This window comes from Homo sapiens, chromosome 16 (assembly GCF_000001405.40).
Source record: "Homo sapiens chromosome 16, GRCh38.p14 Primary Assembly".
NCBI lineage: Eukaryota > Metazoa > Chordata > Mammalia > Primates > Hominidae > Homo > Homo sapiens.
Window position 1 is genome coordinate 23,986,206 of NC_000016.10, and position 18,460 is coordinate 24,004,665.

The 18,460-nt window shown below is 43.0% G+C and overlaps 1 protein-coding gene across 3 annotated transcripts in view, besides 1 other annotated feature; it reads left to right on the forward strand.

Annotated features, from left to right (window-relative positions):
- Positions 1-18,460, forward strand: part of PRKCB (protein kinase C beta) — a 384,629-nt gene that overhangs the window by 150,223 nt on the left and 215,946 nt on the right. For all 3 annotated transcript variants that reach the window (NM_002738.7, NM_212535.3, XM_047434365.1), the window contains one exon: positions 2,303-2,385. In NM_002738.7, coding sequence (NP_002729.2) covers positions 2,303-2,385 — 83 coding nt within the window. The remainder of the gene's footprint in view (positions 1-2,302; positions 2,386-18,460) is intronic.
- Positions 13,801-13,870: an enhancer, noted in NCBI's record as "active region_10595". NCBI's record gives its function as "activates an Ori minimal core promoter by ATAC-STARR-seq in GM12878 lymphoblastoid cells {active_cell/tissue: GM12878}" and the evidence as "EXISTENCE:reporter gene assay evidence [ECO:0000049][PMID:35858748]".

An 18,460-nucleotide genomic window follows, 5' to 3' on the forward strand; every position in this document is an offset into this window, starting at 1 on the left:
CTTTTAGTGGTTTAAAAGGAATACATAGTAGTTTTTATATTTTTATTTATTTATGTATTTATTTTTGAAACAGGGTCTCATTAGGTCACCCAGGCTGGAGTGCAGTGGTGCAGTCATGGCTCACTGCAGCCCCAACTTCCTGGGCTCAAGCGATCCTCCCACCTCAGCCTCCGGAGTAGCTGGACTGCAGGCATGCACCACCATGTCTGGCTAATCTTTTATTTTTTGTAGAGATGGGGTCTCACTATGTTGCCCAGGTTGGTCTTAAACTCCTGGGCTCAAGTGATCCTCCTGCCTTGGTGTCCCAAAGTGCTGGGATTACAGATGTGAGCCACCACACCCGGTTTCTATTCTTATTTTTAATACTTAATTGTTAACACGTATATTTAAACTTATAATGTCCTATATGCAATTTCTCAATATCAATAATCTTTTGAGGAATATAAGACTCAGCACATTTTCATCTTGTAACCCTCCTGCAACTCCCATTTCTTATGACTTGGGTTTTCTCTACTTCTCTATCTCTTCCTCTGTTGAAAACTTTTCATATTATGGAAAAAATTAAACATATATAAAAGTAACATTAGTATAATGCATCCTTGTGTATGCATCACCCAGTTCAATAATGACCCATCATGATCAATTTCTTTTTCATCTGTAATCCTCCCCTTTCTCTCCCCACCTTGGCATACTGAATTATTTTAAATTATTTTATCCATAAAGATGTTAATGTATCCTCAAAGATAAGGATTCTATAAGCAAAGAAAAACAAGACCATTATCACACCAAATATTTTTCATTCCCTAATATCAGTAACAATAATTCCCTTATGTCATCAGAAAGTGAGTATATCCATTTCCCTGATTGCCTTACAGTTTTTTAAACTGTTGGTTTTTTTCCACTTAGAATCCAAACAAGGTCCACATGTTAAATTTAGTTGATATGGGTTGATAGGTGCAGCAAACCACCATGGCACATGTATACCTGTGTAACAAACCTGAATGTTCTGCACGTGTATCCCAGAATTTAAAGTAAAATTAAAAAAATTTAGTTGATATGTTTCTTAAATTCCTTTGAAAATATACGTTTCTCGTCCTATTTTCTCCCCACTTGCAGTCCTCTCTTGTAGTCTATTTGTTGAAGATACCATATTCTTTGCCTTGTAGTTTTCTACATTCTGGGTATTTGGTTGGGGTGGGGGGGGGTGTGTTTGCTGATCGCATCCCTGTGGTGTCATTTAATATGTTCCTCTGTCACTTGTATTTTCTGTAAATCTGTATTTGCATCAAGAGACTTGAACCAATCATATTTGATTATTTGACAAGTGTACTTCATAGGTAGTGAAGTGAGCTTTCCTCTGTAGGCAAGTGGTATCTTTTTGTGACCTTAGCAACCATAGATGAATGTCACCTAGACTCATTGTGTCACTAGGGATGGCCTTGAGGTTTCCTGTTCTATTTTCATTTACTAAGCATGCACTTTAGAAAGGCTCTGAGCTGCTCCCTGAAGCATGGCACCCGTCCTCCAGAAACCCGCAGTCTAGAGGTTGTAAAAGAAGATTTGAACACCAAGACTGTAAAAGATGATTTGAACAACAACAACAACAACAAAGCAGTTTTATTTTGTATACATTCTTTCATTGTACCTCCCCCAGAGGGATATAACCTCCAAATAGGGGAGCCATACCATAGATGCATTAAATTCACACCAATTCAAATGTGTGTATATATGTATTTGCTTGCAGACTACTAAAGTGACAATGTAAACGTTGCTGCCTATTTTTCCCACTCTTCTATTAGATTGACGTTGCTTTTGGTGAGATGGGGCATGAGTCCACCATCCTGTCCCCTCTGTTTCCACATGACCCTCATCGTATGAACACCTCTCTTAAGTGTGATTCTAGGATTTAAAGATACATATTTCTTATGCATTATGCACCTAAACACAAGCCAACTACTTCATCTGGCACCTGATCCAAGAAACAACATTCTGTTCCAAAATCAATAGAAGACAAGGCACTTTAAGGGATCTTCAAGGGAGTGTAATTTTGAGCATATGGAATCTTTCTAACCCTAGCTAACTTTAGAAGTTTAACTCCTATGCAAGATGAAGCATCTATGTTCCCAAGAGTTTGACTTCAGCAAAGGACAAGCTGCAGAAGCTGACATTATTGTTTATTTTGGCATAAAGGCTTTACTTGTTGGTGAAGTTCAAGTTTAATGATCTCTTCCTCCCTTTCTCTCTCTTCCTCCTCTCCGCTTTCCTTCTTCCCTTCCTCCCACCCTGATTTTCTCTTTTGCAGTTTGCTGCTTTGTGGTGCACAAGCGGTGCCATGAATTTGTCACATTCTCCTGCCCTGGCGCTGACAAGGGTCCAGCCTCCGATGTAAGTAATGGGCATCGATTGCTTTTCTCTGTCCACAGTCAATGCTGCCTTGTGATTAAATGTGAGTGAGCATTCTTAGACGAGTAAGTGTGGACGATCTCACTCTAAGGCATGTGGTGGTCCCTATAGCTTTTGAGACAGTTTTCCTTTTAGTGGAAAACAAAATTTTGGAGGGAGTGTGGCTGGATAGGAAGTCAGCTAGTTTGTCTACTATGATTTTGCTAATGTCTTCACTTTGAGAGCTGGAGCACGGAGGGTGAGAGGCAGGGGCCTACTTGGTAGTGTGGCTGCAAAAAGGTAGTTTCGGTGGTACTTTGCAGTGCACGTTATGGCACTTTGTTAGGGTGTTCTTTCTTTTGTTATTGTTATTATTATTTTTATTATTTTTCAGATGGAGTCTTGCTCTATCGCCCAGGCTGGAGTGCAGTGGAGCAATCTCAGCTCACTGCAAGCTCCGCCTCCTGGGTTCATGCCATTCTCCTGCCTCAGCCTCCCGAGGAGCTGGGACTACAGGCACCTGCCACTATGCCTGGCTAATTTTTTGTTTTGTATTTTTGGTAGAGACGGGGTTTCACCGTGTTAGACAGGATGGTCTCGATCTCCTGACCTCGTGATCCGCCGCCTCGGCCTCCCAAAGTGCTGGGATTACAGGTGTGAGTCACTGTGCCCGGCCTATTATTATTATTATTTAAGAGTGTTGCCCAGGCTGGTCTCAAATTCCTGGGCTCAAGCAATCCTCCTGCCTTGGCCTCCCAAAGTGTTGGGATTCCAGGCGTGAGCCAGTGCACCCTGCTTGTTAGGGTGTTCCTAATATCAGGGCCCAGGAATGAGGAGGAAATGAATTTATCCTGCTACCATGAATCTCAAAGTATGACTACTGCTAGTGGGACAAGAGATGCTTGTAGGTAAAATGTGCAAAAAATTTTTGTTTTAATCATTATAAATGTATTTTAATGTGGATTGGGAAAAATGTATCTAGTAGTGGTTTTGCATTTATGATAAGGATATAGAATTTCCTACCTAAGTAAAGATTTTTAGGTTAAACAAAAGATAAACTGATTTGAGGACAATATTAAGTGAATGACAGTATGGGTGATATAAGGATATGGCAAAAGTTTTGGTACAAATGTGTTTAAAGTTTAGGGTACATTGTTGATTGGCCTACCCAGCAGCCATTCACAGCCTTCATCCTTCTGGCAGAGGCTACCTCTCATGATGGAAGCTAAAAATGCCTAATACTTGCTTTTCCCGGCTCTCTTGTAGCTGCTGAATGAGGATGTGACCCAATCCTGCTAATGGGAACTGAGGGGAAGACCTGGGAAAGAGTCTAGGAAAGATTTTTCCTTTCTGATAAGAGAGAGACATCCCTTCCCTTGTCCTCTTGGGCATTTTTGTACAAGGATATAATGCTTGGAGTTGTGGCAGCCCTTTTGGGTCAATGAGGGACACATTGCCGACATCCTGAGCATGGCAGAGTGGAAAACTTAAAAGAACCGTGGGTCCATGATGATGCTGATGAGCTGTTGATACCACTCACAGTCCTTTTATCCCCAAGCTGGATAGATGGGAGAAGAAGCTTTTTTTTTGGCCAGGCACGGTGGCTCACGCCTGTAATCCCAGCACTTTGGGAGGCTGAGGCGGGCAGATCACAAGGTCAGGAGATCGAAACCATCCTGGCTAACATGGTGAAACCCCGTCTCTACTAAAAATACAAAAAATTAGCCAGGCATGGTGGTGGGCGCCTGTAGTCCTAGCTCCTTGGGAGGCTGAGGCAGGAGAATGGCGTGAACCTGGGAGGCAGAGCTTGCAGTAAGCGGAGATCGCACCACTGCACTCCAGCCTGGGCGACAGAGTGAGACTCTGTCTCGAAAAAAAAGAAAAAAAAGAAGCTTTTTTTTTTTTTTTCTTTTTTTTTTTAAGCAAAGTCTTACTCTTTGAAGCCTTCTCTTTTATTTTTGTTTTTTTCTCTTTTGAGACAGAATCTTGCTCTGTTGCCCAGGCCAGAGTGTGGTGGCATGATCATGTCTCACTCACTGCAGCTTAACCTCCCTGGCTCTAGCAACCCCCCCACCTCAGCCGCCCACGTAGCTGGGCCTACAAGTGCATGCCACCACACCTGGCTAATTTTTTATTTGCTTGTAAAGATAGGTTTTCCCTATGTTGCCCAGGCTGGTCTCGAATTCCTGGGCTGAAGCCCTCCTCCTACCTTGACCTCCCAAAGTGCTAGAATTACAGGCATGAGTCACTGTACCTGACCCTGGGGGCATTCTTTTACATGCAGCTGAAACTGTCCTAGCTGAGAAGGCTTTCCACCATGCACAGTCTTTCATTGCCCAATAATGAACTGCATTCAGCATACCCCAATGCAGCCATCACCCCTAGTTCTCTTACTTTGTTTCTGCTTTGAATCCCCTTCTTGAAATTTCTCCCATTGGCTTTGTCTCCATTACTGGTTCTGTTACCCACTTAGACTTGACAGCTGACAGCTTGCCCAAAGTGAGTAGTGACTATCTTCTGTCATTGGATTTCTTTAGCTCCTGCTGGTCTTCTGCAAATGGTCATCTGCCAATTTGCTGCAAACTGGGGTGGGAGTTTGTGGGGAGGGCATATCTGTTGCCATAGCAACACAAAGATGCTGGAGCATATGTTGGATATTCTTTGCTTGGAAAATGTGGTAATTGAGGTTAAGAACTCCAAGAAACATGGAACAACCAAAGTCCTTGGAAATCTGTTTGCAAAGACAAAGTTTGAGACTGTTTGTCATGTTCTCTCAGATCCTATGCCCTAGCCCTTGTAGTGCAATTTCTTCTCTCCTCCCTAGCAAAATAGGCAGGGGAGTTTGGGGAGACTGCCCTACTCAGTATGCAGCTCTGAGTGTTCATGCAGACTGAAACTTGATACTCAACTTGCAGCCAAGAAGATGGTGTTTCCCATATTCTATCTATCTGCTGAATGTTTCTGTTGCCTAAGACAGAAACTCAGCTCAAACTGACTTATATGAAAAGGAAAATTTTGGGTCCTTGAAATAGAAAAGGCCTAAGGGTTGACTTGGCTTCAAGCACAGTGAATCAAAGTTCTAAATAATGTCCTCAAGAACCTGTTTCTCCCCTTCTTGGCTTAGCCTTTGTCTGTGTTGATTTTATTTTCAGGAAGGCTTGTCTCCTATGCGAGCATGGTGGCTGCAACACCTTTAATCTTATATCTTATCAGTGCTGCAGTGCAGTAACAAGAGCTAAAGTCTCATTAGACCATGAATCACATATTGCCAGAAGAATGGGTTATGCTGATTGGCCAGGCCTGGGTATATGCTGCTGTGGTGTGAATGTTTTGTTTCTCCAAACTTATATCCTGAAATCCTAACACCCAAGGTATGGTGTTAGAAGGTGGGCCCCTTGGGAGGTGATCAGTTCATGGGGGAAGAGCCCTCATAAATGAGATAGTGCCCCTATAAAAAAGACCCCAGAGATATCCGTCACCCCTTCTACCATGTGAGGTTGCAATGAGAAGACAGTTGTGTATGAGAAAGTGAGCTCTCACTGGAGACCGAATCTTCCAGTGCCTTGATCTTGTACTTTCTAGCCTCCAGAACTGTGAGGAATAAGTTTATCATTTAAAAATCACTCAGGTTTTGGTATTTTGTTACAGCAGCCAGAAGGGACTAGGACAGAAAATTTTGGTACTAACAGTGTATAGAGGAACAAAATTTTAAGGATGGGTTTTCTGAATTGGTTTCGGGGATTTGGTAATTGGCTGCCAAATCTGATTAGATTTAAGAATGCTAATTACCCTATTTCTAGTAGTAAAGAGAGCCTGGATAGTCCGTGGCATGATCTGTTTATAGAGATACACAAATCATCTGCATTGGATACTCCTAATCAACCATTTATAAGAAGCAAGGAGCCAAGTGATTCGATATATGATACCCAAACACTTTTGGAAAACTAAGGCATATAATGACTTGCTCCTAATGTCTCTGGACAAAGTGGAGAAAGAAAAAGATGAGCTCAGGGATTTGAATTCCCAGCTCAAAGAGTTTCATAAATGATCTAAGAGCTTCTAGGTGTGCCCTGAAGGAGAGCCTTCTAGCCTGTAGTTGCAGGGCTGAAATTTCTGAAAATTAAATGCACAACCTCATCCTGCAATTGGCTGAATTACAATGCAAATTGGACTCCCCACCACACAGGGTGTCTGCTCTAAAAGCAAGGGCAAGGGCATTGATCAGAAAAGAATGGGATCCCATAAGGTGGGAAGACTCTGATGAAGACCCTAATGAAGCTGGGGACATTGAGCCCCTAAATTCTGACAAGTCTTTTTTTTACCAGTGGAAGTGGCCTCCTTACCTCAAGCAAAAGTGTCATCCCCACTCAGGGTGGCATTGGCCTTTCCATCTTGTCTAAGGGAACTAACCCTGCATTGCCCTAAGAAACAGTAATGGCTTTCCCTGAGGCAGTTGCCATGCCAGGCAATGCTGATTCTTGTCAGCACCGAATCCCACCACCCCTTCAAGTCCTAGCAGGCTCCTAAACGTGAGATGCACTGTGTGACCCACGGGGAGGTATGCTATACCCCAAAAGAACTATTTGAGTTTTCTAATTTATACAAGCAGAACCATAGGGAATATGCATGGGAATGATATTAAGGGGGTAGGATAATGGTGGAAGTAACATGAAGTTGAATCAGGCTGAATTTATTGATAGAAGTTCACTAAGCAGAGATTCTGAATGTAATGTTCCAGCTTAAGGAGTTAGGAAGGGCTCTAACAGTTTAGCTGGTTGGCTGAAACATGGATTAAAAGATGGCCTATCATGAGTGAGTTGGAGATGCCTGACCTCCCCTGGTTTAATGTAGAGGAAAGGATTCAAAAGCTTAGGGAGATTAGAATGCCAGAGTGGATTTGTCATTTAATACCCGCTCACCCATGCTGGGAAGGTCAGACATACCTTTAAGAAAGGTATGTCTCTGTCAATACTTTGAGAAATATATTTGTGAGGGGAGCCCCAGCGTCCTTTAAGAGCTCTGTGATCCCTCTTCTCTATAGACCAAACCTTACTATGGGAACCACAGCCACTTAATTGGAAAACTTAAATGCAATGGGAATAATTGGGTCCTGGAGTATCAGGGGCCATTTGGTGGCACTCAACTGTTAAAGGCAAGGTAGGTGCGGTTACCTTAATGGATCGCAGAGTTACAACAACAATCGGAATAGCCTGACTCATGCAGACCTATGGCACTGCCTAATCATGGTGTTGCTAGAAGTGAAATAGGTGGGAAGCCTACTAAATTCTTACTTGATCTGTATAGCAGAAAAATTCTAGGTGAAGTGAACAGAAGTCTAACTTGAATCATAAAAATAGAGAATCATAGCCCCTCAGTCCATTCCCAGACTTGAGCCAGTTTATAGACCCAGAACCCTTTGAATGAAAGGGAGGTAAAATTTCCTTGAGAAAGCGATTATACTGCTAAAAGTTTATCCTGTTAATCTTTCTCCCAGCCTTGCCCAAAGGGACCTACTGCTTTTTATCAGGATAACTGTGCACTAGAGAAAAGGAAATGATGAGACCTTTTGGGGACTACTGAACACTAGTTCTGAACTGACACTGATTCTAGGAGACCTAAAATGTCACTTGTCCCTCCAGTCAGAATAGGGGCTTATGGTGGTCAGGTGATCAATGGAATTTTAGCTCAGGTCTGTCTTACAGTGGATCCAGTGAGTCCCCAAACACATCCTGCAGTTATTTCCCCAGTTCCAGAATGGATAATTAGAATAGACATACTTAGCAGTTGGCAGAATCCCCATACTGGTTCTTTGACCTGTAGAGTGAGGCCCACTATGATGGGTGAAGCCAAGAGGAAGCCATTAGAACTGCCCCAGCCTAGGAAAACAGCCAACCAAGAGCAATACTACATCCTTAGAGGGACAGCAGAGATCAGTGCCATCATCAATGACTTGAAAGATGCAGAGGTAGTGATTCCCACCATATCCCTTATTCAGCTCTCTTATTTGGCTTCTGCAGAAGACAGATGAATCTAGAAGAATGTCAGTGGATAATCATAAGCTTAACCAAGTGATCACTCCAAGTGTAGCTGCTGTATCAAATGTGGTTTCATTGGTTGAGCAAATTAATTCATCCTCTGGTAGCTAGTATGTAGCTATTGATTTATCAAATGCCTTTTTCTCCATCTCTGTCCATAAGACCCACCAGAGCAGTTTTATTGCAGCTGGTAAGGCTAGCAATACACCTTCACTGTCCTACTTCAGGGGTATATCAACTCTTCAGTCGTATGTCATAATTTAGTTTGCAGGGATCTTGATCATTTTTTCCTTCCACAAGCTATGACAATGGTCCTTTACATTGATGACATTATGCTGATTTGTCCTAGTGAATGAGAAGTAGCAACTACTCTAGACATTGGTAAGACATTTGTGTGTTAGAGGATGGGAAATAAATCCAACTAAAATTTAGGGACCTTCTTCCTCAGTGAAATTTCTAGGGGTCAGTGGTGTGTGGCATGTTAAGATACCCCTTTTAACGTGAAGGATAAGTTGTTGCATCTGGACCCTTCTACATCCGAGAAAGAGACAGATGGCCTACTGGGCCTACTTGGATTTTGGAGGCAACACATTCCTCATTTAAGTGTGTTATGCTGGCCTACTTACCAAGGGGCCCCAAGAGCTTCTGGTTTTCAGTAGGGCCCAGAACAGTAGAAGGCTCTGCAACAGGTCCAGACTGCTGTGCAAGCTGCTTTGCCACTTGGGCCATCTGACCCAGCAAATCCAATGGTGGTTGGTTAGTGGCAGAGAGGGATACTGTGTGGGGCCTTTGGCAAGCCTTTATAGGTGAATTGAAGCACAAGTATTTAAGATTTTGGAATATAGTCCTGCCATAATCCACAGATAGCTAGTTTCCTATTAAGAGACAGCTCTTGGCCTGCTACCGGGCCTTCGTGGAAACTGACGATTTGACCATGGGCCACTAAATTGCCGTATGACCCGAATTGCTCTTCATTAACTGGGTCTTATCTAAACCACCGAGCCATAAAGTGGGCATGCACAGCAGCACTTCATCATCAAATGGAAGTGGTATGTATGTGATCAAGCCTGGGCAGGCTCTAAAGGCACAAGTACGATACATGAAGAAATGGCCTGGATGCCTGTGCTCCCCACTCTTGCTACCCTGCCTTCTCTCTCCCAACTTGCACCTTTGGGCTCATGAGGAGTTAGTTCCCTATGATCAGTTGACAAAGGAAGAGCAGACTAGGACCCAGTTTACAGATGTTTCTGTACGGTGTGCAGACACCACCCAGAAGTGGACAGCTACAGCACTGTAGTCACTTTAGGACATCCCTGAGGGACAATAGTGAAGGGAAATCTTCTCGGTGGGCAGAACTTTGAGCAGTGCACCTGGTTGTGCACTTTGCTTGGGAGGAGAAGTGGCCATACATGTGACTATATCCTGATTCATGGGCTGTAGCCAATTATTTGACTGGCTGGGCAGGGACTTGGAAGGAATATGATTGAAAAAATTGGTGACAAAAAAGTGTGGGGATGAGGTGTGTGGATAGACATCTCTGAGTGGGCAATAAACATGAAAATATTTGTGTCCTAGGTGAGTGCTTACCAAAGGGTGACCTCAGCAGAGGAGGATTTTAATAATTGACTTGATAGAATGACCCGTTCTTTGGATACCAGGCAGCCTCTTTCCCCAGACACCCTGTCATCACACAATGGGCTCATGAACAAAGTGGCCGTGGTGGCAGGGATGGAGGTTATGCATGGGCTCAGCAGCATAGACTTCCACTCATCAAGGCTGACCTGGCTATGGCCACCGCTGAGTGCTCAATCTGCCAGCAGCAGAGACCAACACTGAGTTCCTGATATGGCACCATGCCTAGGGGTTATCAGCCAGCTACCTGGCGGCAGGTTGATTACATTGGACCCCTTCCATTATGGAAGAGGCAGCATTTTATCCTTATGGAAATAGACATGCTGGATACAGATTTGCCTTCCCTGCCTGCAGTGCTTCTACTGAAACTGCCATTCATGGACTTAGAGCATGCTTTATTCACTGTTATGAAATTCCACACAGCATTGTGTCTGATCAAAGAAATCACTTCAAAGCCAAAGAGGTGGGCAGTGAACTCACACTCATGGAATTCACTGGTCTTACCATGTTCCCCATCATTCTGAAGCAGCTGGCTTGATAGAATGGTGGAATGGCCTTTTGAAGAGTCAGTTATGTTGCCAGCTAGGTAGCAATACCTTGCATGCCTGGGCAAGATTCTCCAGAAGGCTATATATGCTCTGAATCAGCATCTAGTATATGGTGCTTTTTCTCTGATAGCCAGAAATTTATGGATCTGGGAATCAAGGAAGTGGAATGGGAGTGGTACCACTCATTATTACCCCTAGTAATTTTACCACCAGCAAAATTTTGCTTTCTTTTCCCATGACTTTATGCTCTCCCAGCATGGAGGTCTCAGTTCCAGAGGGAGGAATACTTCCAGCAGGAGACAGAACAATGATTCTATTGATAGTTAACACTGCCACCCAGCCACTTTGGGGTTCCCATGCCTCTGAGTTAACAGGCCAAGAAGGAAGTTATGAAGTTGGCTGGAGTGATTGATCTGGACTACTAAGGGGAAATTGGACACTACTCTACAATGGAGAAAAGGAAAAATGTGTCTGGATACAGGAGATCCCTAAAGACATCTCTTAGTATTACCATTACCTGTGATTAAGATCAATGAAAAACTACAACAACTCAATACAGGCAAAACTATGAATGGCCCAGACCCTTTAAGAATGAAGGTTTGGGTCACCCTGCCAGGTAAGGAACCACCACCAGCTGAGGTGCCCACTGAAGGTAAAGGGAATACAGAATAGGTAATAGAAGAAAGTAGTTACAAATACCAGCTATGACCGTGTGACCAGTTACAGAAACAAGGACTGTGATTGGCATGATTATTGGCATTATTTTGTTATGGATATGTTTGTGTGTATATATACATATGGTGAGCAAATATCTTTGTTTTCTTTGCTCTTTTAGTTCTTTATCATGTAACGTAAGATGTATTGACTTTATATCAGTATTTTTATGTCTTAGTATTTAAGTTATAGGATACCAGGACAAGAGGAATCATTACTCAAGGACTTCATCTCCTTTTCTGGGGAGGGGATTATTGCATTTTCAGTTGTACAAAGTCTAATTGTATCACATCAGGTGGAATTATGTCCTTGTTATTCTTTATTTGGAGGTTCTTTATTTAAGAAGGTGTGTATGGATGCCAAGTTGAGAAAGGGTGGACTTGTGATGGTTAATTTTGCACATGCAGTTAACCTTGACTGGGCTAAGGGGGGTACCCAGATAGCTGGTAATACATGATTTCTGGGCATGTCTGTGAGGGTGTTTTCAAGAAATTATCATTTGAATCAGTAGACTGAGTAGAAAAATTGCCTTCATTGACATAGGCAGGCACCATCTAATCTGTTGAGGACTCAGAACAAAAAGGCAGAGGAAGGGTAAATTCACTCTCTCTTTTTGAGCTGGAACATTAATTTTTTCCCGCCTTTGGGTGTTGGTGCTCCAGGTTCTCAGTCCTTCAGACGTGGACCAGGACCTACTCCATTGGCACCTATGGTTCTCAGGTCTTTGGGCTCAGATTTCAAACATTGGACTAAACTATACCCCTGGCTTTCTTGGTTCTCTGGCTTGCAGATGGAAGACTGTAGGACTTCTTGGCTTCCATAATTATGTACACCAATTCACGTTATTGATTTTTTTTTGGAGAACCCTGACTAATACATTGTGCCTACACCGTAGATGAGGGCGTGAGTGCCCCTTCCATGGATTGAGAGTGGGGAAGAGGTAGTTTCTCTGAGGAAAGCTAGAGAAACGGTATTGTGTCCTGGTTAAAATCACGGATTATGGAGCCAGCATTCCTAGCCTCAGATCTGTGTGACCTTGGACAAATAACTTAAATCCATTTATGCCTTAGATTCCTCAGCTAAAAAATGAGTTAAATAATAGTTTCTACTTGATAGCATTGTTATGAGTATCAAATACATAGATATCTGTAAAAGCACTTAGGACAGTGTCTGGTGCATGGCAAGAGCTATATATGTGATGATGATGATGACAATGACAATGAATAACAGTGCACACATGCTGAGCAGCCAGCAAGGACAGGTGTCTTGTCAGACAGACCAGGAAAGGGTGAAGAATGAGCAGGTTCTCTGTCTGCCACCTGGCAGTCCTTCCTAGAAGTGTGGAGGCTCTGTAAGTGGCATGAGACCCCTCTCTGTATGAATGAAGGAGTGCAGCCATTCATTGCCTTGAGCATGAGGAGAGCAGGAAGTACTCCCTGCAGCCAGCATGCATAGGATTTGGCAGCCTACCTGAAATGATTCTATCTCTGGATACAGTTCCAAAAAGGTCAGTTGGCACCAAGGATGATGAATTGGTCCAGACACCTGAACTGGCTTGACTCAGTTCATTGACCTTTTTCTGCTCATGGTTGGAGGCATGATTAAAGACCTAGCCACACCTGCTTGCCCACCTGGCCAGACTCTCCTTTAGCTGCCCCTGATACTCATGCAGGTATGGAGGGGTGCCCTCTCCTTCTGCATGACCTTGGAGGAACTGGTGTGCAGCAAGTTCGTGAAGCAGAAACACACAGGCGGTGACCTTGGACAAGGCTCCATCCACGATAAAGGATGTGCTTGGTTGCATCCTCTACCCTCTGCTGTTCCAAGCCCAGTCTGAGCCAGGCAATATTATGGATATTAGTAGAGCTTTGTGCTGTTGGCATTATCCTACAGCTATGTTCACATCATATCACATTGAGGCAATTTTATGAACCAGGCACTGTCCCGTGAACCTAGCTACTGAGCCAACCATTCAATAACAATGAGAATAGACAACATTTATGGGCACTCGCCATTGGAGGGCCACAAAGTGTGGCAGAGTTCATGGATGATGCTCCTGGTCACCCACAGTCATCCTTCTTGTTCTTGATCTCACCAGGCAGGAAATCCTCAATTCATCTGTCTCTTGTACCTCTTAGAGAGACCAGGTCTCTGGTACTGTCATAAGCATTACTTATGGACATTATAGGTTATTCAGCACTCAGAATACTGACCACATACACAGCCTCCTGTGACATCTCAGAACAAGAAACAGAGGAGTTGTCTCTGAGGGTTGGGACTAGGGTGAGTCAAGTGAGGTACTTTCCCTGGGCACAGTTTAAGGGGTTCTTGTCTGTGTCTGTGGATAGCTGGTTGGTTGGCTGGTGGGTGGATGATCTAAGATGGCCCCTTTCACATGACTGACGACGAGCAGGTTGTCGGCCTGTGTGATTTGGCTCTCGTCCATGTGGCATCATCCTCCATCCAACTGGCTAGCTCTGACTTGTTCATATGGTGGTTTCCAGGCTCCAAGAAGAGCAAGAGAGCATCTCCCAACACTTTTTAAGCCTTTGTATCATGTTTGCTAATGTCCTAAAAAGCTAGTCTCTGGCCAAGTCCAGATTCAAGTGGTAGAAAAATAGATTCCAGTGCCTCATTGGAGAGGAAGTATCTATGGTTAATCTATTGCAGATCCTGTTAACCCAAGAGGCCATAGCAGAACAGAACCCCTGGAGACCATCACACTGGACTTTATAAAAATCTGCATGTTATAGTGTGGCTCAGAGTCATAGATGGCCTCATCAAAAGAATGCACCTAATTTATTCCCTGCCTCAATCGCCAGTGGACTTAACCACCTCTAGCTATAAGTGGTTAATGTGGCAGTTTATTGATCACGTCAATGGTGGTTAAGAGTATGGACTCTGAAATCAGACATACCTGAATTTGAGTCTTGATTCTGCCCAGATACTCATTAGGAAAACTTGGGCATGTCGTTCGACTTCTCTATGCCCTAGTCTCCTTATATGTAAAATAGGATGTTAGTACCAACCACATAGGTTTATAGTGATAATTTTAAAAATATTTAAAATGAGAAAGAGTTCACAAACAAAAGACAAATGAATTTCAAAGCCCTTACATGAAAGCGCTTGGCACAGTGCATAGCAAGCCCTTGGTACATGTAGCTAAGGCCATTTCCATTGCTCCACCTAGGTCCATAATCAAGAATGTACTGACAATTCTCTACATTCTTCCACCCAGAGCATGCCCTTATGAGGTGATTACAGTTTCCATTTCCATTACTTCACACAAACCTCAAATTCTGTGATGCAGTGCTAAGAAAAGAACTCAAACTTTGGAGCCAGAAAATGCTGGTGTCAAATTCCAAATGGTCTCTGCTATGTATTGCTCCAATGACCTTGGGAAAATAACTTTAAGTTCTGTGACCCTCAGTTTATGTCTTTAAAATAGAGAAAATAATACCTAAATAAAGCGGTTTTTTTTTTTTTGGTAACTATTCAATAGGAGACTGCTTGAACCATCCCTAGAATAATGTCTGGCACAAAGAAGGCACTCAATACCTGGTTTTAAAATCATTATTAATGTCTGGAGGAGCCTCTCCTGCTCTATAAGGGATACAGGTTACCCTCTGACCTGCCAAGAAATAATAGCTAATAATAATAGCTAACTTTATTGAACAGGGTCTCTGGGCAGGCAGTACAAAAGGACTCTTTGTCTGGTTTGTCTAAAGATACCTTTTTCAACACTTTATGGCTTTAGAAATAATTTCTTATGATTTATAGTCAAGTTACTGAGTAAAACCCACTGTTAGGTCCTGTGATCTCCTAATTCCATCACTAAATCAGGTCAATTAGAGATGGTAGACACTAATGTTGACCTTATCCTTTTGATCAAGTCTCACTTTGTGATAAGATAGATTAAAAATCATAAACTTGTTAAACTTGTTAAATGTTGAAGATTTGATAAAACAGAAATGAAAGTATTAAATGTATGTATACATTAAAGTATGTAAATAAGTGAGAACATGTTTGAAAATCTGGTTGAAATGGATGATTTTCTCATAAAATTGTCAATTTTGTCTCAAAAAGAAATTGAAAACCAGAATAGGCAAATAACCGAGAAAGAAATGAAAACATTATTCAAGGATCTTTTCTTCTCGTAAAACCCCAGACAAATATGTTTCATGGGTAAAACTTCTTAAATTTTAGAGCAACGAAGAATTTCTGTTCATTTAAAATTGTACCTGATTACAAAGAAGAAATAAACCTTTACAATTTTTTTTAAATGAAAATGAGAGAAATCCAGCTCAAATTAGCAGTAGGAAAAGAGGGCCCATTGACTCCTGAGAAGGACATTGGGAGTAGAGTAAGAGCTTCAGGACCAAGGACCTCAAAGGCTGGAACTGAAGCTCCAGTACTTGCAAGATACTTTTCCATTTCTGCTTTATTGGTTAGTTATTTTGCTCTGTAACAAACCATTCCAAAATTTAGTGGCTTGAAACATCAGTTATTTGTGGTTTCTCATGATTGTGTGGGTTACTTGGGTGATTCTTCTGACCTGGGTTTATTTGGGTAATCCCTGCTGGGCTCTGTCCTGGGTCTTGGTCAGCTAGTGGCTGGGCCGATGCTGGATTACCTAGAACAGCCTTGCTAGCATTGACTGAGGGCTGGCAGGCTGTCGATCTGGGCATTTCATTTTTCCTCCATGCGTCCTCTTTTCCTCCACCAGGCTAGCTTAGTTTCACGGTTCCAAGCACGGCAAGAGAGGGAAATCCCAAAGCACAGGTGTGTGTGTGTGTATGTGTGTGTGCGTGCGTGTGTGTGTGTGCGTGCGTGCGTGTGTGTGTGTGAAATGGAGTCTCTTTCTGTTACCCAGGCTGGAGTGCAGTGGTGTGATCTCGGCTCACCGCAACCCTCCCAGATACAAGTGATTCTCCTGCCTCAGCCTCCTGAGTAGCTCGGATTATAGGCACCCACCACCACGCCTAGCTAATTTTTGTATTTTTTGTAGAGACGGGGTTTCACCATGTTGGCCAGCTGGTTTTGAACTCCTGACCTCAAGCGTTCTGCCTGCCTCAGCCTCCCAAAGTGCTAGGATTACAGGTGTGAGCCACTGCGCCTGGCCAGCATAGGTGTTTTTTAAGCCTTTGTTTGTGTCACAGTGGTTATGGACAAGATCAGATTTGGGGTGGAGAAACAAACTTCATCTCTGGATGGGAAGAATAGCAAAGTCACATGGCCAAGGAGCATGCGGGGATGGGAGACATTGGTGGCCATTGTGCAGTCTACCACACTGACCCTTATCTGCTGTGCCAGATGCCTCGTTTGCCCTTCCAATCCACTCTGCTTTCTCTGAGAGACTAAGCCATAATGACTGCTTCAACTGGGGCTCCCTTACCCTCTGACCTGACCTCTGGTTGGACTCAAGGGGAGGGGCTAATAGGAGACTTGGGGAGGGGAGAGTGAGACCCTCCCCGAGTCAGTCAGTATTTATTATGGAGTCATCTTCACTCTACCTTTTGACTATAGGTTGCTGCTCCTCTACAGATCATCTTCTCTATGTAATTCTCTCCTTCTGGGTTCCAGGAGCTACTCCCTTCCTTTGTCCTCTGGCTCTTACTAGCCTCCAATCCCTTATACTTTCCCAACACCATGCCCACACCTTTAGAAACAGTCCTTTCATTGAACCTTTCTTAAACACTCTTCACTTTAGTATGCCATCTGTTTCCTGCGGGGCCCCTGACTGATGCATCTGCTTTGTCTTGCCTCATTTGCTCCTGCTGTAGATGGAACATGTCTGCAAACATCGTTACAGTTGACCCCATGGAAAGATGGCAACCCTAGTGGAGGAATTAGCCTTCTTCCTGCATTCGTTTTTTTTTTTTTTTTGAGACAAAGTCTCGCTCTGTTGCCCAGGCTGGAGTGCAGTGGTACGATCTCAGCTCACTGCAACCTCTGCCTCCTGAATTCAAGCAATTCTCCTGCCTCAGCCTCCCAAGTAGCTGGGACTACAGATGTGCACCACCATACTCAGCTAATTTTTGTATTTTCAGTAGAGATAAGGTTTCAGCATATTGGCCAGGCTGGTCTCGAACTCCTGATCTCAAGTGATCTCCCTGTCTCAGCCTCTCAAAGTGCTAGGATTACAGGCGTGAGCGACTGCACCCAGCCATCTTCCCTGCATTCATAATTGATCTCAGAAAATGTTCTGATGGAGTTGGTTCTCTATCACTGGGAGAACGAACTCTTATAACCTCAGACCTGGATCCCATGGCATCCCTTTCACCCAGGAGCAGTGTATGTTATAAGAAGAGTGAAGGAGAAACTTTGATGCGCTGATGAAAGTAATAACTAATTATTATAAGCTTGCTTAACCACAATAACCGCTATTACCTAGTAAAGTTGGCATAAAAAGTAAACTACAAGCCAGTCTCATACATGAGTCTAGATGAACATATCCCAAATAAAATAGTGAATGCTATTTTATTGTTGTCACGGACATTATGCATTCAAATAATGTGGAGGAAACAATCTAGAGATAAAACAACAAAGAAAATTATGATCAATATAACAAAATATAGGAATAAAGATAAAAATATGCCAGCAAGGAACCGTGGAATCTGGAAAGCATAAATTTAGATGGTAGAAGTGATAGCAGAATGTTACCCAACCAATGTAAATGGATTGAAATTCTCTACTGAAAGGCAAAGACTATGAGATTGGATGAGCAATGTACAACTCTTGGCAGTGTATAAAAGATGCTTAAAGCACAGGTTTTAAAAATAAAAGGGACAAAAGTGTATCATGAAAATACATATATAAAAATGAAACATGGTCTTAATAATGATATCAAAAGAAATAGGACTCAAAACAAAAAGCATAAACGGGGGCAGATGTCCCAGCAGATCACTTGAGCTCAGGAGTTTGAGACCAGCCTGGGCAACATGGCGAAACCAAGTCTCTACAAAAAAAAAAAAAAAAAAAAGAAAAAATTAGCCAGGCATGGTGGCATGCACCTGTAGTCCCAGCTACTCAGGAGGCTGATGTGGGAGGATCACTTAAGCCTGGGAGGTGGAGGCTGCAATGAGCTGTGATTGCACCACTGCACTCCAGCCTGGGCAACAGAGTGAGATTCTGTCTCAAATAAACAAA